General features: G+C 40.7%; 1 long non-coding RNA gene across 2 annotated transcripts in view; it reads right to left on the bottom strand.

The window, feature by feature from the left end:
- LOC112268283 (uncharacterized) overlaps positions 1-22,856 on the bottom strand; it is a 29,739-nt gene that overhangs the window by 4,446 nt on the left and 2,437 nt on the right. For both annotated transcript variants that reach the window (XR_007067922.1, XR_007067923.1), the window contains one exon: positions 526-619. This is a non-coding gene — a long non-coding RNA (uncharacterized LOC112268283). The remainder of the gene's footprint in view (positions 1-525; positions 620-22,856) is intronic.

Below are 22,856 nucleotides of genomic sequence, written 5' to 3'. Positions count from 1 at the left end.
TAAATAATTAAGTAGTGGTGAGGCAGAAGAGGCTAATTAGAGATGACAAAGAATAATACAAAAACCATGGGCCACAGAGCCAGGGGTGGCCTGGAGCTGAGCTGAGCTTATTAGGGGACAACTGCATAGGTGGACTTAAGGGCAAAACTGAAGGTTTTAAATGCTATGAAGTGTAGGGCCATGCTGCTGGTGCTAATTAAGCACTGAGAACTACCTTTCATACAAGGCTGAGATCTGTGAGACAGCCTCTTGCTTCTTGATCATGAACATCTTCAGTTAGATAAAGAAAGGGTCTAGTGAGGGTAGGTGGGTTACTCAAAATCCCTAGTGTTTAATTAGTTTTAGTTAGTTGAGACTGATTGTGATGAAACACAACATTTAACTTTGCTATCTCCTAGGCAAGTGCTGCCAGAAATAAAAAGTCTCCTTTTTACAGAAAAGAGAACATGGAAAGGCTGTCCAGAGTTCAGTCTCAAAGGCAACACTGGGCAGGGACTGACAAAGGGTTGAGGAGTGTCCATTAACCTGGGTATTGGTGATGGAAAGCATATCCTGAAATTGGAGATAGCAAGACTCTTGGTGAACTGTTGAGTAGACTGGGTTGAATTCAGTGAAGGATCTAAAGGAAAAATAAAAATATTAATGCTTCTATGTAGTATTAAAAGTTGTGACCATAAGATAGCAAGTATAATCACACACCAAAAAATGACTTTTCTGTCCCAAGTGAGTGGTGGGCTTCAATGTAGTCACCCAGAAAACATTAAATATTTGTCATATGTTCAAGATACATTTTGAAACATCTAAGGAAATAGAAATTATCACTTTGTTACATGTGCATGTAGGTGCACACACAGAGTATTACTCAGCGAATTTTTTCAGCTTTATTCTATATAATTATATATTTTTTCCAGCCTTATTCTGCCTGACTATCCAGATTTTACACTGTTTAGATCTGGCTGTTTCCAAATTGCACAAACTGTCTTGAACTGAAATGGACAGAAGGCAGGCAAATACTGGTAGAAAAGGGCAGGATCTTTGGCAAGGGCTCCACCCACAAGCTTGGACCCTCAGCCCAAAGTGAGAACTATCCCTGTTTTCCCACCTGATTGTTGCCTTTTGGCCCACCCCACACCACCCCCTATCCTGTGCCCATAAGAACCCCAAGCCCCAGACTCAGTGGACACACACACAGAAGAGAGAAGTGTCTGGATATTGAGATGAGAAGAAGCAGCTGGAGGTCAGGAACTATGGTCAGAGAGGAGTTCAGCTGGAGACACCCGGGCTCCAGGGGAAGATTATCTTCCCACTCCATCCCCTTTCCAGCTCCCTTTCCCACTGAGGCCCACTTTTACCACTCAATAAAGTCCTCCACATTCACCACCTTCAATTTGTTCATGTGACCTGATTCTTCCTGGACGCTGGATCAGAACTCAGGTACCAAGACAGCAAAGTGTAAAAGGCTGTCACCCTGACCTTCCACTGAGCTGGTTAACACTTAGCCATCCACAGACAGCAAATGTTAAAGGAGCACTGATTGTAACACATGCCCTCTGGGGCTCTGGGGGTCGCAGACAGCCCCTCCCAGACCGCAGAGCTAAAAGACTATTGTAACACACTTTGACACTGCTGCAGAACCCACACAAAGCTTGCTCCCGCCGGAGAGGAGCCACAGGCCAGTTCCACATTCATTTGCTCTGGTTCCCACACCCATCCACTCATGTGCTTCCTTCCATAAGGGATTCAGCATGGTAAACAAGTAAACAAGTCACTCATGTCACAAGTCCTGCAAAGGGGTCAAGGGAACACTCCTGTTTCAGAACCATTGAGGAAATTCAAAGAATCTGTGACAAGCTTCTTACCAGTGCCCTGAGATCTTGTGATTTCTCAGGATAGAAATCAAGAGAGATCACCAGAGGCAGCAATGAAGAGAGTTTATTACCTCTCAGGGAGCCAGCCATGAGAGAGCAAAAAGGAGTGGGCTGTTCCCCAAAGATACTGTGTGGTTCGGTTAGGTATAGGGTCTTTCCATAGGGAAGGATTCCCTCAGGGAATGTATAGGGAGAGTTTTGCTAGCACCTGCACAATGGCTCAACATGTTTCTTCATACATTGCATGTAGCATTAGAATTTTAAATCTCCACCCCTGGGCATGAACTTTAGTGTTGAAATGAGGAAAAGATAACTTTAGGTTGGAGTTTAAGTCTGACTCCACATATGGGACTCTGGGAAAGCCTCTAGCCCCCTGAAATAGAAATTTGCAATTAATAGCTTCCTTGGTCTTTTATTGCTGATTGGCTGAGAGTTAGACAAGCTAGAGTTTGAGTTGAGGGGCTTTTATCCTTTTCCTTCAGACAATCTTAAGATAGGGAACCAACCAGTCGGCCTGTCTCAGGCTCTAAGGAAAATTCTGAGAGGTCAGCAAGAAACCTAATATTATAAACAACAGTGCCATCAGCAGTTATTTAAATATATAAATATAAATTTTAAAGGTCCTATTAAAGTCATTCTGAGCCTGTACATTTAAACCATTCTAAATGTTTACGAGTATTTAGATACGAGAAGAAATTAGACCCAAATTATGCATCAATATCCAATACATGTGCACTGTGTATTCAAGATCAATATAATCTCCCACAGACTGTTCTGCTGAGTTAGCTAATATACAAAGACTTAGTTTGTTTTCTATATGTTAGAACATGAAAGAAAAGATATGTAGCTCACTGCCATTCCAAAATCCCAACAAATTATGGAACTGCCTCCATTGTGAAGCTGGCTAGTTTTCTTTTTTCTTTTTTTTGTTTTTTAACAGAGTTTCACTCTTGTCACCCAGGCTGGAGTACAGTCGAGCAATCTCGGCTCACTGCAACCTCTGCCTTCTGGGTTCAAGCGAGTCTCCTGCCTCAGCCTCCCAAGTAGCTGGGATTACAGGCATCTGCCACCACACCCAGCTAATTTTTTTGTATTTTTAATAGAGATGGGGTTTCACCATGTTGGGCAAGCCGGTCTTGAACTCCTGACCTCAGGTGATCTGCCCACCTTGGCGCTAGTTGTTTTTTAAAAGCCATCTTTCTAATGAAATGTAACACTGATGATTGCCTTACACATAGATAACATTAGGCCTCACATAGTAATCTCAGTGCTAACTACATGTCTTACCCTTCCTAAAATTTTACATTTTCTCTGTGGTTAAAGTCATCTTACAAAAAGACCCACATTTTACAAAGATTTAATTGTCTTGGATTTCAAATTACAACTAGTTTGATAGCCAAAAGGTTAAAAACAAATTGATTTTATGAAAAATTCTTATAGTATTAAATTTGACATGGATTACCATTAATAATAGAATCCTCTGCTGGCTGTGAGACATGCAAAGTTGCAAAGCCCAGATCCACAGATTAGAAAGGATTTTGACATGTATAATTGTGTTAGTCAGTTTGGGCTGCTATAACAAGATATCATAGACTGAGCGATTTAAACAACAGAGATTGATTTCTGGAGTTCTGGAGCCTAGGATAGTCCAGGGTCAGGGTGTCAGCAGACTGTGACTGGTGAAGACCCCCTTCCTGGTTTGCAGATGCTGTCTTCTTGTATCCTTAGATGGCGGAGAGAGAGATCATCTTTTCTTATAAGGGCAGGAATCACACCTATGAGGGCTCCACACTCATGACCTAATCACCTCCCCAAGGCCCCAACTCCAAATATCATCAACTTGGGGGTTAGGCTTCAATATATGAATTTTGGGGGGACACAGATATTCATTCACAGTAATAGCACTGTTGACAGCACACACAGATACCCCACATTCTTTTGCTCTTTCTGTAAGCCTCTTCCAACTGCTTTGTGCTTTGCTTCCGAAGGCCTGCAACTGAGACTTTTTTTTTTTTTGAGACTGAGTCTTCCTCTGTAACCCAGGCTGGAATGCAGTGGCATGATCTCAGCTTACTGCAACCTCTGCCTCCTGGGTTCAAGCAATCCTCCTGCTTCAGCCTCCTGAGTAGCTGGGATTACAGGCACCTGCCACCAAACCTGGCTAATTTTTGTATTTTTAGTGGAGATGAGGTTTCACTATATTGGCCAGGCTGGTCTCGAACTCCTGACCTCTTGATCCGCCTGCCTCAGCCTTCCAAAGTGCTGGGATAACAGGCATGAGCCACCAGACCCGGCCGCAACTGGGACTGTCTTTAAGGATCTCTGCATGGAGCTGGGAGAGGGGAGCTTTAACCCTCTGTGCAGTTCTTAGGCAATGACTGACTGGTCCAAGTGTCTGACAATCTGACTCCCTGGCCTCAAGTTGGATGAGGCTGAAGCTGGACTTTGACAAAATCACACACTTTCTTGGGTTCTCTCTTTTCCATATCCTTCTTTCCCTTCTCCTTCCCTGTCTTCCTTTGAGATCACCTTGTTAATAAATTACTCCCACATGACTCCTCATCTCAGGGGCTGCTTGAGGAGAATATGACATCAGGCAATATATGCACAAAGAGCTTTACAAATTTATAAAATTTTTTTAATTAATTTTTTTTTGTAGAAATGGGATCTCTCTATGTTTCCTAGGCTGGTCTCAAACTCTTGGGCTCAAGCAGTTCTCCTACCTCTGCCTCCCAAAGTGCTGGGATTATAAGTATGAGCCATTGCACCCTGCCAAAATAAGATAACTTTTGTAACCAAAATATAGGCAGAGCCCTTCATGGCACAGACTCTGCACAGATTTCATCTGAAACCAACAGCAATCCAGTATTCTTTAGTTACCCCTCAGAAATATTTAATTAAGGTTGGGGATAAATGGCTGTTATGAGACAAGGAACATATGTTGATGCAAGTAGATTTATTACAATGATCCCATTTCTACTCACATGTTACTGAGGCTCAAAGAAGTGAGTACTGCACATTGAGTATATGACATGGGACCAGCCCAACAGGTGAAAGAAGTTGGAAATCTGTTTTATGTCTGAATTTGAAATGCAATAGCAGAAATCTGTTTTACGTGTAAATTTGGAATGCACTGCCATAAAGTATATCCTTTAAAGGTTTTATGCCTATGGTTACAAATCTTGTGGAGTGAGGACTTTAACATATCCCTCTTTTCTCTCAGACAGAACTGTAAGGTCTAATAAACATATTGGATTTAAGTTCTAATAAAGATATAAGCCATAAAATTAATCTCTTGTTAGGCTTCTCTGCTTACATTTGTACACTTGCTTCCAATCTTCAAGCAAGAGAGCTCTGCCCTCTAGAAAGAAGATGTGGGCCCATTCTGCAGGCCCAGAGGATTCAGGGACAGCTGCAGTTTCACATTTATCAATGACATCTATTCACATTTTCTGATTCCAAGTCTTAAGAAGCCATTTCTTCCTTACCAAGTTCCTGGCTGTTGCATGGGATTGCTGAGGATGTAAACTGGGTGTCCCTGAAGGTCCACTGTTTTGTTTTTGTTTTGTTTTGTTTTGAGATGGAGTCTTGCTCTTGTTGCCCAGGCTGGAGTGCAATGGCGTGATCTCAGCTCTCTGCAACCTCTGCCTCCTGGGTTCAAGTGATTCTCCTGCCTCAGCCTCCTGAGTAACTAGGATTACAGGCATATGCCACCATGCCTGGCTAATTTTGTATTTTTAGTAGAGATGGGGTTTCTCCATGTTGCTCAGGCTGGTCTTGAACTCCCGACCTCAGGTGATCCATCTGCCTCGGCCTCCCAAAGTGCCGGGATTACAGGCCTGAGCCACCAAAGGTCCACTGTTCTTATAGTTGGTCCTGGCCTGGTCTTCAGCATGGTCTCCCTTGGCTATAGAAAAAGGGGGTTTGTTTAAGAGCTGCCAAGGGACTTTTTGACTTTCTCACTTTGCCTTATGCTGACCAACTGGAGTCTATTTATCATGGAACCCATCCACAGCCTTTGTAATGACCATTTACCTTGTACCATCAAAAGCCAAAGAAAATTGCACAATCTAGCATACCTGTTCTGTCAGAATCCCTTCTGTATTAGTTTCCTAGGGCTTCTATAACAAAATACAATAAATTGGGTGGCATAGAACATGAGGAATTTATTATCTCACAGTTCTGGAGACTAGAAGTCCAAAATCAAGGTGTCGGCAAGGTTGGTTCTGAGAACCGTAGGGAAGAATCTGTTCCATGACCTCCCTGTTGGCCTCAAATTGTTCTTGTGGATGCCCTGTGTCTTCACACCATCTTTCCTCTAAGCATGTATGTCTCCATGTTCAAATTTCACTTTTTTTGTGAGGTCAACAGTGATATTGAATTAGGGCCCACCCTAATGATCTCATTCTAGTTGGATTATCTGCAAATATCTTATTTCCCAGTAATATCACATTCCCAGGTACTGGGGGTGAAATTCAACATCTTTTGAGGTTACATAATTCAACCCATGACATCATCTTAATTCGCTCCAGGTAAAAGTTTTAGCAACTGCAATGCTCTAGTGTGTCAGGGCCCCTCTGGGCTCCACATACCCCCTGTGATGGGGTATTTATTGCCACTTAGCTGGTGACTTAACTCTAGAATCCCATCCTCAGAATCTGCCTCCAAAAATCATCCTTGCACTCCTAACCAAATACCTAAGGCTGGACCTCCAGAAGCCAACTCTGAGACACAGATCATGAACAGGGTATTTATTAAGGGCCAGGAGAAGAACACAAGAGAAAAGGAAATGAAGAACAGAGAAAGGCACAATTTTAGCCAACTCCCTGGCCTTAGCCAGATCTTTGGGGAGCTCTAGACCATAAATTATGTCAGAATTTGCCCCATTTTGAGGAAAGGGAGTCAGGCTTTCAGAATCTTGCACAGTCATTGGCTATAGGCTTCCCTAGAACTACACTACCAGGCATTCCAGGCTCTCTCTGGGAGGGAGGGACTGGCCCATGGTCAGCCTCTGAAGAAGGTCACAGGGGCAGGCCATTTGGAACAAAGCACAGAGAAGCTATAGGATGCATTCACATGGCTGGTAAAGTGGATAAGAAGGGGTCCGGGGAGAGCATGGAGAAAGTTTACCACCCAAAGCAATACACTTTTGCCTACTTGTGCTGACATTTACTGAGCTTCAACACAGGAATGTTCTAGATAAAATAATATTACTCTGCAACATTGAGGGAAGACCAAGAATGCCTTGAGATAGGACTCAGCATGTCCTGGAAGCAGGGTGCCATTGTGTGGGAGGGAGGTGCCCAGCAGAGGTAATTCTTGGATCCATGGCACCTGCGGTGGACAACTGGCCAGGAGGAGCCACAGGAACCAGCCCCACGGGCTCAACAAGGCCACAGAGCAGCAGCAGGAGGCCCTGAGTAAGACCCTGTTTGTGACAGTCCCCTGAAACTTTAAAAGACAAAGCAAGGGAAGAAAGCGGCGGTGAAGATGGATTAAAGGCCTCACAGTAACAGGTCTGTAGGTACAGCCAGAGAAATCAACGCTTATTGTTTTTAATGTGTCCCGCTTTTTCTTCTTCCTTTTAATGCCAGATGGGTGCGGCAATCCTTTGTTAAGACAGAAATTATTTTACTTTTTTTCCACAGTGGTACAGAAAAATGTACAGGGCTCATTAGAAATATTTAGTGGATGGAAAGTAATTTGAAGAAATCGATGAGGTTGAAAATAATAATAAAAGAAGTCAGAAAGGGGCAGAGAAAGATAGAAATTTACAGGTTTCAAAGCAGGGATACATGAGGAAAAAGGTTACATAAGTTCTCTCTTTGAAGCACAGAAGGTGTGCAGGAAGGGAATAACACCCATCCACATGCTCGTGCTCAAGAGATTCAGGTTTCTCTTAAAGTGAGGTCCTGGGAGTGCAGACTGAATATATTTGAGGAAACCTAGGTTCAGACAGGTTAAGTGATTTTTCTCAGTTACACAGCTGTGGATTGCACAGCTTAAAAAATATTATAAAAATTCTTATGAGGATTATAACTGAGAAGTAGGTGTCTTTTTTGCTCACAGAATATTCTATGGCAAATCCTAGACTCAGGTTCTTATAGCCATAGCCCCAGGCTGTGCCAAACATCCACACACACCCACTTTCCCATTCTCTCCAGCAGACCTCATAAGTTATCTTAATATGTAGTCTATGGTCTATTTAGGCACCACCTGCACACAATCATCATTTATCAAATTGCCTAGGCAAACCAACATCGGCTTTGCTATATCTTGGCAAATGTCTCTCCTATATTTAGCCTTTTAGCCACAGTGTGATGATTGGAATGTGTCTTACAGAAAGGAAGCTTTCTCTGAGAGCCATGCAGGGGTGAGGCGGCAAGCCTCTGACGGAGATAACTTCCTGACTTGTGTTTGGGATTTCTCCAAGCTGCTGAAATAGTACTTGAAGTGTTTCATGGACACACGGAGATTTAACACCTGCAAAGTTAAGCCTGACGCCCTAAGGTGGAATGCTGAAACGGCAGAGAGCAGAGCAAGTGTAGGTGAGGATTGCGTTTCACCTTCCTAGTGCCCTCATAGGGTGCGTTGGATTTATGTCTCACTGAGTGAGGCGCCCTCTCCTGGCCGACGATCCCACTGGCTCAGTCACAGCAGGAAAGCGAGAGCTGCAGGTTGCAGAAAGACAGGGCTCCACTCTCAAGGGAAACTGCTGACAATGCCAAAAGTCAGAATCCTTTCACTGTCTCTTTACATCCCAGCTGTCAGACAAGCTAACTTTAAATTTTAACTTAAGCAAGATTGTGTTTTTTATAGAATATTTCAACACAGAGGGCAAATTTCATTCTAATGTGACAAAAGCAGCGTTGGGAAAAGAGTTGGAAATGTGTGCTTTTGAATGTGACCTGAGATATAGCTTCCAAAGCTGGCCATTGCTCTCCTGGCCCAGAGCCTGACCCCATCTCATGACAGGAGAAGCTGAATCTCACGCTCTGTAAGAACCTGGCTTACTCCCTCATTAAATATGAGTCCCTGTTCTCAGAAGTGGATCACTGTAGTTTGAAGGATCAACATTGATCAAACATATCCATTTCTGCCAGTTTTACCCCTCTCTATGCTGTTACTAAACAAGAGAAGTTATTCTACAATTTATGTAAGTTATAAAATAGTAATTAAATATTTTGGAATATGTGAAAAAGTAAACTACCAAAATCTCCCTACCTACCTACAGTATTATCATCTTAATGTATTTCCTTTTTTCTCCTTTTATATGCACATTTACACTAAATGTTTATGTGTACATATATATTTTAGCCTATAATACTATTTTATTTTGATTTAACATGTATTTTATTTACTATGTAATATATGACATATAAATATATATTTTATATTATCACCTTATATTTATAGCTTTCTTCTGTAATGTTGATTAATTATTATCAGGAGTAAATTATATTTAGAGAATATGCTGCAGCAATAAAAAGCTTAATAACAAGGAATCTGGACTAAAGTAGAACAGGGTAAGCCCACATCCAATTAAGAAAGCTCTTTGGACACATATATATTCCACCAACAGAGCTACTAAAATGTAACTTACATTCTTAAGCTTTCCATAGTCTGTATACCCATGTTGCCAAAGATACACTACAGTAAGAAAGAAGAGAATTTTATACCTGAAAGATTTTTGCCTGTGCTGGCTTGTAGGGAATATTCTTAAAGACTAGCTTCAACTCTGTCTGTTGTTGTTCCCAATGAATTATCCAAGTATCTAAGAGTTTAGGGTTCATGCTGCCTTCAGCCATTGAGGCCATTCACCTGGTGAGATATGTTTTCCCCAACAAAACATGGAACCCCTGGAGAATATATACGTGTCTGCAGTCATGTTCCATTATGGTTTTGCTTTCAGTTAGCCAATCATATATATAATTCATAGTAAGGGTATCAAGGTCTGTTTTTGTTCCACCAGCAAGCCCATGGCAGTTTGGGAACCAAAGGCATTCAGAGTATCTGAAATCACTCCAATTCCCAGGATGGGTTGAACCTACCTGAGAGCTCTACAGGGCAAAGGCAAGCTGTTCTGTGTCTATTTTTTCCTTAAGCCATTTCATACACACACCTTTGATGAGAGCACCTAAGTGTCATAAAATGCTGACTTTGGACCCAAAGACAGATTACCTTGAAAGAAATGGGCTGGGATTTCCAATTAGCAGCAGAAATTCCAGGAATTTCCAGATTACTTGGCACCCATATTATCAGCTACATATAGGGAGTCTGGACTTGAAAATTCAGGAGCATGGGGGTGCATGGTAGTGAATTCCTGTAATTTTATATTGCCTTGGCATTCATTTTGAATATAAGTTGGACTTTCTCATACAAGAAACATGGTTTAGTCACCCTTGGCACAATTTCCAGTTCTCTGTTTCATCCCAGTTCCTTAATATGGTCAATCCAGATATCTCCCTTATACAATTGTCTGCTGTTGACCACCTTCCCTAAGGGACAGTTAGGTACCACCTATTGGCTTACCCCACTGACTCCTCCATCCCCCATAGACTGTACAGATATGCTGCAGCGACAACCTCTCAGTAACAGCGTGGCCACATAGGACTTGGAACAGCTTGCTTTAAACTCGCAAATTAGAACTCCCATGGAAACCCACCTAATAATACCCTGGACTCCAATAAAAGCTTTAGCACACAGGTCCCTCACTCTCTCTTTTGCTCTGCACTTTGTGGTTCTGGTAGAGCATGTATATCTGGAATGGCTCTGCTTTCCCATCAGCTCTGCAAGGAGTGCTGCCCTTTTCTCTAATCTGTAAGTAATAAACTCCTCCTATTATTGTGTGGTTTTTGTTGCATCGCCTCCTCTGCATCTCACCTGACTGACACACCTGAACCTAGTTTCTTTCCAAGGGAAAGCTCTCCTAGACAATGGATATCTTGGTAGAAATAAACTGGACATAGGTCAGACAAGAGCCACGAGGGTGCCTGCTGGTATAAGCATGTTTCCTGTGAGTGGGACACCTGGTCATGGGTTGGACGCTTAGGCACTAGGCAACACTTAGGCATTAGGCCATCCACTAGGATAAAGAAGTCACTGTAGACATCCATGACCCAAATACTGGAGCCCTTTCAGTGCAGGGTTAGAATTCACAGCCATTTTCCAGAGAGAAACCTCAAGACCAAATTAGAAAAACAAAATTCCAGTACTCACCAACAGCCTCCTGCTTTTAGAGAAGGGGGTGCTTGAAACTTCTGATTAGCCTCTCACTCTCTGTCATTTCCCATCTCCCCAGGAGGTAAAATAGCTCACCCCTGCTAGGGAAGGGTAGAAGTGGGGAGAAGCTAGGCAGATGGTTGGCAAGGATTACTTCTCGTATTTCATCCTAATTTGCATTAATGCTCAACTTTGAATCACTCTTTCTGTGTATATAATTTTTTAGTAAAAAAAATTCCTCTTCTTTTCAATTTTGAGCCTGAAATTGTGAACAATTTGATTGCTATTTGTTAGTCACATTAAGATTCTCTTAAAATATACTCACACATTGTTATGTATCTAGCAGGCATATACTAATGTATGTTCTTGTAAAAATATGCCTATGGGTATTTAATGCCAGAGACAATTACTGTATTTCGTTTCAAGTTCAGTCCACAGCATGGGACCTCTTCTGAAAGTGCATGTACAAAAATGATTATGTCTAGTATAGCTCAAAGTATTGTCTTCCATTCTCACTCCTGGAGAATATTACATTTTTCCCCCTCCAGAATTTTGTAATTACTGTAGGGGAAGAAAAATTAAAAGATGCTAAATTTACCAAGTGTAGATCTTTCTTTTTTTTTTTTTTTTCTTCAGTATATATCTCATTTTAATAAGACCACAGTATAGTCTCACCTGACAAAATAAACAATAATTTCTTAATATCATTAAATAACCAGTCTATGTTCACATTTCCAATTAGCTCATAAATATCATACATCATTTTTATTTCTATATTATGGTGATGCAACAGCAAAATTCAGACTGTAGGAAAAACTACAGGATAACTAGTTTTCTTCAATAAGCAGAAAAATGTATAAATTAAAAAAAGAAAGAAAGAAATGTGGAAATATGGATTATAAGAGACTTAAAAGTTATTTCAAACAATCACTGTATGAACTTCATTTGGATCCTGAATACTGGAAATTGTTTAATTCTTTTTTGTGCACTAGGGATGGAGAGTCAAATTACTGTGTCTTCTAAAAGCCCCAGATTTCACTACCACACAATTTATCCATGTAACAATCCTGCACTTGTACCCTCTAAATCTATAAAAATAAAAATTTATTTAAGATATTTTTAAAAACAACAACAATTGTGCCTTAAAGCCATTGGGAAGAGTTCCTCTCTGTGAAGGTGTGCTCCTAACTGAACACACAAGATTTGTAAAAATTGCTTTTTTATTTTTTGTTTTGTAATTACGTAAAATATTTATGCAGCTCAGAAGTCAAGTTTACAAGGCAAATTCACTTCTGTGCCTATTCTCTTTTTTTTTTTTTTTTTTTTTTTTTTTTTCCTCAGGGATCTAGAACTAGAAATACCATTTGACCCAGCCATCCCATTACTGGGTATATACCCAAAGGACTATAAATCATGCTGCTATAAAGACACATGCACACGTATGTTTATTGTGGCACTATTCACAATAGCAAAGACTTGGAACCAACCCAAATGTCCAACAATGATAGACTGGATTAAGAAAATGTGGCACATATACACCATGGAATACTATGCAGCCATAAAAAATGATGATGAGTTCATGTCCTTTGTAGGGACATGGATGAAATTGGAAACCATCATTCTCAGTAAACTATCGCAAGAACAAAAAACCAAACACCGCATATTCTCACTCATAGGTGGGAATTGAACAATGAGATCACATGGACACAGGAAGGGGAATATCACACTCTGGGGACTGTGGTGGGGTCGGGGGAGGGGGGAGGGATAGCATTGGGAGATATACCTAATGCTAGATGACATGTTAGTGGGTGCAGCGCACCAGCATGGCACATGTATACATATGTAACTAACCTGCACAATGTGCACATGTTCCCTAAAACTTAAGAGTATAATAAAAAAAAAAAACATTAAAAAAAAAAAAGTGTAGATCTTTCAAAACTTCACAGGTAAAAGTGCCTCAGAAACATTTTTCAAAATGGTTTTGTCAATACTTTAATCAAAGAATTAGCTAAAGACTTGCTGTTTGAATATGAAATTATGTTATTCTCACAAAATCTTTCCCTCTGTGATTAAAAATTGTAATCCTCATGTTCTTGTTTTATTACCTGCTATATATAAAATATATTTAGGGCAGGGCACAGTGGATCATGCCTGTAATCCCAGCACTTTGGGAGACCTAGGCAGGAGGATTATTTGAGCCCAGGAATGGGCTCAAATGCCCAGCCTGGGCAGCACGCAGATACCCCAACTCTCTCTATATGTGTGTGAATAAACTAATGTGAATTTTCTTTCCCTACCTGTACTGGAACAAGTTTAAAAGTCCTACATACATACGGGAAACATTAAGAAATGTAAGTCATTATCATCATCATGGTCATCTTCATCAAACACTCATTTGGCTGGTGGGAAACAGATTCAAATTCATTTCTGTTTGACATCTGAATTCAAGACATTCACATCTTGAAAGTTTAATCCTTATCCTTTACTGCCTCATGTATTCTATGTAACCAAGAGAGATGATGGGCTTGTATTTATTTGCGCCTTTTCTTTGGTTCTACATGGGCAACTATTTGTCTTCTACATAAAACTTTATTTATCCTGAGCCAGTCTGGATAGGCTTGTGTTCCTGAATATTGAGAGTTCTCTGAGTAAATGCTCTCTCTAGATAATTTTATCCTATATCATAGGTTTTAATCTTACCCAAATGCTGGTTATTTCTAAACTAACACATCCAGCCTTGACCTCCCCTCTGTGTCCAGATTCAGATACTTGACTGCCAAATTAACACCTCCTCTGGGATATCTGAGAAGCATTCTGAATTTAACCACTCAAAACAGAAACTTTGATTCCTCCCTGCCCCAAATATGATGCTCCCCCTCACTTCCAGTCTTAGTGGAAATATCATCTCTAACTATCCAGTGGCTCTGGCCCTCAATTTAAAAATCAGCCTGGATTCCCTATGTTTTACACACTCCAAATCCATTCTATTGGCAAAGCCTGTCAACTTTACCTTCACAACACATCCTAAATCGAGTTCTCACCTTTTTTGTAGATACTACCCGAGGCCATGTTTCCGTTATCTCTCTTCTAAATTACAGCAGTCATTTCTGATTGTTCCCTCTATTTCCATTACTTTTTTTTTTTCCAACCCAATCCCAGCTATTTTCCAAACAGGAGCCAGAATGATTCTTTCAAAAACGTAGATCAGATCACATCATTTCCTGCTCAAATTCTACAACAGATTTTCACCACATGAAACAAATCCATAAGTCTTCACCATTATCTCCCAGGCCACAGGGAATCTAGGCCCTGCTTATCTTTTGTATCTGTTACTTACTACTTTTCCCTCTGCCACTCTATATCACTTTGGCACTATTTTTCTTGCTGTTTATTAAACCTCCCAGCTCTTGCAGCCTTAAGGCTTCTGATTGGCTATTCCCTCTTGCATCAGATATTGGTGTGGTTCTTTCATCATTTCTTTCACTTCTGAGCCTTCTCTCCAACAATACTCTCTACACACACACATTGTGTCATTCTATATTCAACCACACTTTATTTTTTCCACATAGCCCTTATCACAACCTAACACTATATTATGCATTTGCTTCTTAACTTGCTGTTTTTTTCATTAGACTGGACACTCCACAGGGGCAGAGATTTCACCAATTTTGCTCATCCTTGTATTAAAAACATTTTTTAAAGTGCCTGGCACACAGTAGGTTCTAAAAATAAGTGTTGAATTTTACCATTATGCTTTTAATATTTTTTCCAAAATAGGTTTTTATGCTCTGTATTCTTAGATTATGCTGAACACCATCGTCTTTAAGATTTGCAGCATTTGTTAGAAATGCTGGTTGTGTTGCTCTGTTAGAAAGTACAGATCTAAGACCGGGCATGGTGGCTCATGCCTGTAATCCCAGCACTTTAGGAGGCTGAGACGGGCGGTTCATGAGGTCAGGAATTTGAGACCAGCCTGGCCAGCATGGTGAAACCCCATCTCTACTAAAAATACAAAAAATTAGCTGGGCATGGTGGCACATGCATGTAATCCCAGCTACTCGAGAGGCTGAGGAAGGAGAATCACTTGACCCCAGGAGGCGGAGGTTGCAGTGAGTTGAGATCACGCCATCGCACTCCAGCCTTGGTGACAGAGAGAGACTCTGTCTCAAAAAAAAAAAAAAAAGTACAGATATAAGAAGAGTATGATAAAAGTGTGGGAGGCATCTGTTGAATATGGCTTTAGTTCTCATTTTGAACATAATGTAACAGTCACAGTACATTAATGGCTTCCCTACTTTTTTTTAAAGCATTACTTATTACATTACTCATATTTTTCTTTCATATCTCTTACATCTTACATCTTATTCCATGAAATAAGTGCATTCCTGTTGAATGTTCATTCACACTTCAAAATGCAGGTAATATGTTAGCTTCATCAGCACTCACAGTTATAAATTTTCCCTTGTCTTCCAATATATAGGTAATTACATACAATCTTACTATAAAATTTATTATGTTATTGCAATCTGATTATTAAACTAGGTTTAGTGAGATGAAAGCAGAAAAGATAGCTACTCACTTTGTCCACTAAATTTGTTTTTTTTATTATTAGACTTTAAGTTCTAGGGTACATTTGCACAAAGTGCAGGTTTGTTAAATAGGTATACATGTGCCACGTTGGTTTGCTGCACCCATCAACTCATCATTTACATTAGGTATTTCTCCTAATGCTATCCCTCTCCCAGCTGCCCACCCCCCAATAGGCCCCGGTGTGTGATGTTCCCCTTCCTGTGTCCATGTGTTCTCATTGTTCAATTCCCACCTATGAGTGAGAACATGCAGTGTTTGGTTTTCTGTCCTTGTGATAGTTTGCTGAGAATGATGGTTTCCAGCTTCATCCATGTCTCTACAAAGAACATGAACTCATCCTTTTTTATGACTATATAGTATTCCATGGTGTATATGTGCCACATTTTCTTAACCCAGGCTATCACTGATGGACATTTGGGTTGGTTCCAAGTCTTTGCTATTGTGAAGAGTGCCGCAATAAACATACGTGTGTATGTGTCTTTACAGTAGCATGATTTATAATCCTTTGGGTATATACCCGGTAATGGGATTGCTGGGTCAAATGTTATTTCTAGTTCTGGATCCTTGAGGAATCACCAATCACCACACTGTCTTCCCCAATGGTTAAACTCATTTACACTCCCACCAACAGTGTAAAAGCTTTCCTATTTCTCCACATCCTCTCCAGCATCTGTTGTTTCCTAACTTTTTAATGGTTGCCATTCTAACTGGCATGAGATGGTATCTCATTGTTGTTTTGATTTGCATTTCTCTGATGACCAGTAATGATGAGCATTTTTTCATGTGTCTGTTGGCTGCATAAATGTCTCTTTTGAGAACTGTCTGTTCATATCCTTTGCCCACTTTTTGATGGGGTTGTTTTTTTTCTTGTAAATTTGTTTGAGTTCTTTGTAGATTCCGGATATTAGCCCTTCGTCAGATAGGTAGATTGCAAAATTTTCACCCAATATGTAGGTTGCCTGTTCACTCTGATGATATTTCTTTTGCTGTGCAGAAGCTCTTTAGTTTAATTAGATCCCATTTGTCTATTTTGGCTTTTGTTGCCATTGCTTTTGGTGTTTTAGTCATGAAGTCTTTGCCCTTGCCTATGTCCTGAATGGTATTGTCTAGGTTTTCTTCTAGGGTTTTTATGGTTTTTAGGTCTAACGTTTAAGTTTTTAATCCATCTTGAGTTAATTTTTGTATAAGGTGTAAGAAAGGGACCCAGTTTCAGCTTTCTATATATGGCTAGCCAGTTTTCCTAACACCATTTATTAAATAGGGAATTTTTTCCCTGTTGCTTGTTTTTGTCAGGTTTGCCATGATCAGATGGTTGTAGATGTGTGGTGTTACTTCTGAGGCCTCTTTTCTGTTCCATTGGTCTATATAACCTGTTTTGGTAACAGTACCATGCTGTTTTGGTTACGGTAGCCTTGCAGTATTGTTTGAAGTCAGGTAGCGTGAGGCCTCCAGCTTTGCTCTGTTTGCTTAGGATTGTCTTGGCTAGGTGGGCTCTTTTTTGGTTCCATATGAACTTTAAAATAGTTTTTCCAATGCTGTGAAAAAAGTCATTGGTAGCTTGATGGGGATGGCATTGAATCTGTAAATTACCTTGGGCAGTATGGCCATTTTCATGATGTTGATTCTTCCTATCCATGACCATGGAATGTTCTTCCATTTGTTTTTGTCCTCTTTTATTTCATTGAGCAGTGGTTTGTAGTTCTCCTTGAAGAGGTCCTTCACATCCCTTGTAAGTTGGATTCCTAGGTATTTTATTCTCTTTGTAACAATTGTGAATGGGAGTTCACTCATGATTTGGCTCTCTGTTTGTCTGTTACTGGTTTATAGTATCGGGGGAACCAGCCCCCAATATTTCAATGTAGGTTCTATTTTCCCTAAGTGTCGGCTGGCCTGAGAAATAAAGAAAAAGAGTACAAAGACAGGAATTTTACAGCTGGGCCTCTGGGGGTGACATCACATAACAATAGGTCCGTGATGTCCCCCTGAGCCACAAAACCAGCCGGTTTTTATTAAGGACTTTAAAAGGGGAGAGCATGTATGAACAGGGAGTATATCACGAAGATCACATGCTTTAAAGGGCAATAAAGATCACAAGGCAAAGGGCAAAATTAGAGTTACTGATGAGGGTCTATGTTCAGCTGTGCACATATTGTCTTGATAAACATCTTAAACAACAGAAAACAGGGTTTGAGAGCAGAGAACTGGTCTGACCTCAAACTTACCAGGGCGGGATCTTTTCCCCACCCTAATAAGCCTGAGGGTACTGCAGGAGACCAGGGCGTATTTCAGTCCTTATCTCAACCGCATAAGACAGACACTCCCAGAGCAGCTGTTTATAGACCTCCCCCCAGGAATCCATTCCTTCCCCAGGGTATCAATTATTAATATTCTTTGCTGGGAAAAGAATTCAGCGATATCTCTCCTACTTGCACATCTGTTTATAGGCTCTCTGCAAGAAGAAAAATATGGCTCTATTCTGCCTGACCCCGCAGGCAGTCAGACCTTTGGTTGTCTTCCCTTCTTCCCTAAAATCGCTGTTATTCTGTTCGTTTTCAAGGTGCACTGATTTCATATTGTTCAAACGCCCATGTTTTACAATCAGATTTCATATTGTTCAAACACACATATTCTACAATCAATTTGTACAATAGTGGTCCTGAGGTGATGTACATTTTCAGCTTAGGAAGATAACAGAATTAAGAGATTAAAGTAAAGACTGGCATAAGAAATTCAAAGAGTACTATTTGGGAACTGATAAATGTCCCTGAAATCGTCACAATTTATGTTCAGAGATTGCAGTATAGACAGGTGTTAGAAATTATAAACGTATTAATTTTGGGAACAGATAAATGTCCATGAAATCTTCACAATTTATGTTCCTCTGCTGCAGCTCCAGCCGGTCCCTCTGTTTGGGGTCCCTGACTTCCGGCAACATTATAGGAATGCTTATGATTTTTGCACATTGATTTTGTATCCTGAGACTTTGCTGAAGTTGCTTATCAGCTTAAGGAGATTTTCGGCTGAGACGGTGGGGTTTTCTAAATATACAATCATGTCATCTGCAAATAGGGACAATTGGACTTCCTAATTTCCTAATTGAATACCCTTTATTTCTTTCTCTTGCCTGATTGCCCTGGCCAGGACTTCCAACACTATGTTGAACATGAGTGGTGAGAGAGGGCATCCTTGTCTTGTGGTGGTTTTCAAAGGGAATGCTTCCAGCTTTTGCCCATTCGATATGGTGTTGGCTGTGGGTTTTAAATATCTCTTATTATTTTGAGATACATTCCATCAATACCTAGTTTATTGAGAGTTTTTAGCATGAAGGGCTGTTGAATTTTGTCGAAGGCCTTTTCTGCATCTATTGAGATAATCATGTGGTTTTTGTCATTGGTTCTGTTTAAGTGATGGATTACATTTATTAATTTGTGTACGTTGAACCAGCCTTGCATCCCAGGGATGAAGCCCACTTGATCATGGTGGATAAGCTTTTTGATGTGCTGCTGGATTTGGTTTGCCAGTATTTTATTGAGGATTTTGGCACTGATGTTCATCAGGGATATTGGTCTAAATTTCTCTTTTTTTGTTGTGTCTCTGCCAGGCTTTGGTATCAGGATGATGTTGGCCTCATAAAATGAGTTAGGGAGGATTCCCTCTTTTTCTATTGATTGGAATAGTTTCAGAAGGCATGGTACCAGCTCCTCTTTGTACCTCTGGTAGAATTCAGCTGTGAATCCATCTGGTCTTGGACTTTTTTTGGTTGGTATGCTATTAATTATTGCCTCAATTTCAGAACCTGTTATTGGTGTATTCAGAGATTCAACTTCTTCCTAGTTCTGTCTTGGGAGGGTGTGTATGTCCAGGAATTTATCCATTTCTTCTAGATTTTCTAGTTTATTTGCATAGAGGTGTTTATAGTATTCTCTGATGGTAGTTCATATTTCTGTGAGATTGGTGGTGATATCCCCTTTATCATTTTTATTGAGCATATTTGATTCTTCTCTCTTTTCTTCTTTATTAGTCTTGCTAGCAGTCTATCTATTGTTGATCTTTTCAAAAAACCACCTCCTGGATTCATTGATTTTTGGAACGGTTTTTTGTATCTCCATCTCCTTCAGTTCTGCTCTGATCTTAGTTATTTCTTGCCTTCTGCTAGCTTTTGAATTTGTTTACTCTGGCTTCTCCAGTTCTTTTAATTTTGATGTTAGGCTGTTGATTTTAGATCTTTCCTGCTTTCTCTTGTGGGCATTTAGTACGATAAATTTCCCTCTACATACTGCTTTACATGTGTCCCAGAGATTCTGGTATGTTGTTTCAAAGAACATATTTATTTCTGCCTTCATTTCATTTTTTATCCAGTAGTCACTCAGGAACAGGTTCTTCAGTTACCATGTCATTGTGTAGTTTTGAGTGAGTTTCTTAATCCTGAGTTCTAATTTGATGGCACTGTGGTCTGACAGACAGTTTGTTGTGATTTCTGTACTTTTACATTTGCTGAGGAATGTTTCACCTCCAATTATGTGGTCAATTTTAGAATAAGTGTGATGTGGTGCTGAGAAGAATATATATTCTATTGAGTTGGGGTGGAGAATTCTGTAGATATCTATTTAGGTCCATGTGGTGCAGAGCTGAGTTCACATCCTGGATATCCTTGCTAAACTTCTGTCTCATTGATCTACTATTGAGATTGGGGTGTTGAAGTCTCCCATTATTATTGCATCGGAGTCTAAGTCTCTTTGTAGGTCTCTAAGGACTTGCTTTATGAATCTGGGTGCTCCTGTATTAGGTGCATATATATTTAGAATAGTTAGCTCTTCTTGTTCAATTGATCCCTTTACCATTATGTAATGACCTTGTCTCTTTCGATCTTTGTTGGTTTAGTCTGTTTTATCAGAGATTAGGATGGCAACCCCTGCTTTTTTTGCTTTCCATTTGCTTGGTAGATCTTCCTCCATCCCTTTATTTTGAGCCTATGTGTGTCTCTGCATGTGAAATGGGCCTCCTGAATACAGCACACTGATGGTTTTGACTGTTTATCCAATTTGCAAGTCTGTGTCTTTTAATTGGGGCATTTTGCCCATTTACATTTAATAGTGTTATGTGTGAATTTGATCCTGTCATTATTATGTTTGCTGGTTACTTTACCCCTTAGTTGATGTAATTTCTTCATAGTGTAGATGGCCTTTGCAATTTGGCATGTTTTTGCAGTGGCTGGTACTGATTGTTCATTTCCATGTTTATTGCTTCCTTCAGGACCTCTTGTAAGGCAGGCCTGATGGTGACAAAATCTCTCAGCATTTGCTTGTATGTAAAGGATTTTATTTATCCTTCACTTATGATGCGTAGTTTGGCTGGATATGAAATTCTGGGTTGAAAATTCTTTTCTTTAAGAATGTTGGATATTGGCCCCCACTCTTCTGGCCTGTAGGGTTTCTGCTGAGACATCCGCTGTTAGTCTGATGGTTTTCTCTTTGTGGGTAACCCGACCTTTCTCTCTGGCTGCCCTTAACATTTTTTCCTTCATTTCAACCTTGGTGAATCTGACAATTATGTGTCTTGGAGTTGCTCTTCTCGTGGAGTATCTTTGTTGTATTCTCTGTATTTCCTGAATTTGCATGTTGGCCTGCCTTGCCAGGTTGGGGAAATTCTCCTGGATAATATCCTGAAGAATATTTTCTAACTTGGTTCCATTCTCCCTGTCACTTTCAGGTACACCAATCAAATGTAGATTTGGTCTATTCACATAGTCCCATATTTTTTGGAGGCTTTGTTCATTTCTTTCTACTCTTTTTTCTCTAATCTTGTCTTCTCACTTTATTTCATTAATTTGATCTTCAATCACTGATATCCTTTCTTCCACTTGATTGAATCAGCTATTGATGCTTGTGCATGCGTCACGAAGTTCTCATGCTGTGGTTTTCATCTCCATCAGGTCATTTAAGGTCTTCTTTACACTATTTATTCTAGTTAGCCATTCATCTAACCTGTTTTCAAGAGTTTTAGCTTCCTTCCAGTGGGTTAGAACATGCTCCTTTAGCTCAGAGAAGTTTGTTATTACCGACCTTCTGAAGCCTACTTCTGTCAATTCATCAAAGTCATTCTCTGTCCAGTTTTGTTCTGTTGCTGGTGAGGAGCTGCGATCCTTTGGACAAGAAGAAGTGCTTAGGTTTTTGGAATTTTCATCTTTTCTGCTCTGGTTTCTCCCCATCTTTGTGATTTTATCTACCTTTGGTCTTTGATGTTGGTGACCTACAGATGGGGTTTTAATGTGGATGTCCTTTTTGTTGATATTGATGCTATTCCTTTCTGTTTGTTAGTTTTCCTTCTAACAGGCCTCTCAGCTGCATGTCTGTTGGAGTTTGCTGGAGGTCCACTCCAGACCCTGTTTGCCTGGGCATCACCAGCAGAGGCTGCAGAAGAGCAAGTATTGCTGCCTGATCCTTCCTCTGGAAGCTTCATCGCAGAGGGGCACCCACCTGTATGAGGTATCTGTCGGCCCCTACTGGGAGATGTCTCCCAGTCAGGCTATACGGGGATCAGGGGCCCCCTTAAGGAGGCAGTCTGTCCATTCTCAGAGTTCCAACACCATGCTGGAAGAACCACTTCTCTCTCAGAGCTGTCAGACAGGGATGTTTAAGTCTGAAGAAGTTGTCTGCTGCCTTTTGTTCAGCTATGCCCTGTCCAAAGAGGTGGAGCCTATAGAGGCAGTAGGCATTGTTGAGCTGTGGTGGGCTCCACCCAGTTTGAGCTTTCCGGCTGCTTTCTTTACCTACTGAAGCCTCAGCAATAGCAGACCCCCCTCCCTCCACCCGGCTGCAGCCTCTCAGGTCAATCTCAGATTGCTGTGCTAGCAGTGAGCAAGGCTCCATGGGCGTGGGATCCACTGAGCCAGACATGGGAGGGAATCTCCTGGTCTGCTGGTTGCTAAGACCATGGGAAAAGCACAGTATTTAGGCAGAAGTGTACCATTTTTCCAAGTACAGTCTGTCACAGCTTCCCTTGGATAGGTAAAGGAAATCTCCTGACCCCTTGCATTTCCCGGATGAGGTGACACACTGCCCTGCTTCAACTCACCCTCTGTGGGCTGCACCCACTGTCCAACCAGTGCCAATGATGATGAACCAGGTACCTCATTTGGAAATGCAGAAATCACCTGTTTTCTGTGTTGGTCTCACT

Source organism: Homo sapiens, chromosome 21, assembly GCF_000001405.40.
Source record: "Homo sapiens chromosome 21, GRCh38.p14 Primary Assembly".
Classification (NCBI taxonomy): Eukaryota; Metazoa; Chordata; class Mammalia; order Primates; family Hominidae; genus Homo; species Homo sapiens.
The sequence above is the reverse complement of the archived record's forward strand: the minus strand, read 5'-3'. Positions and strand labels throughout refer to the sequence as shown.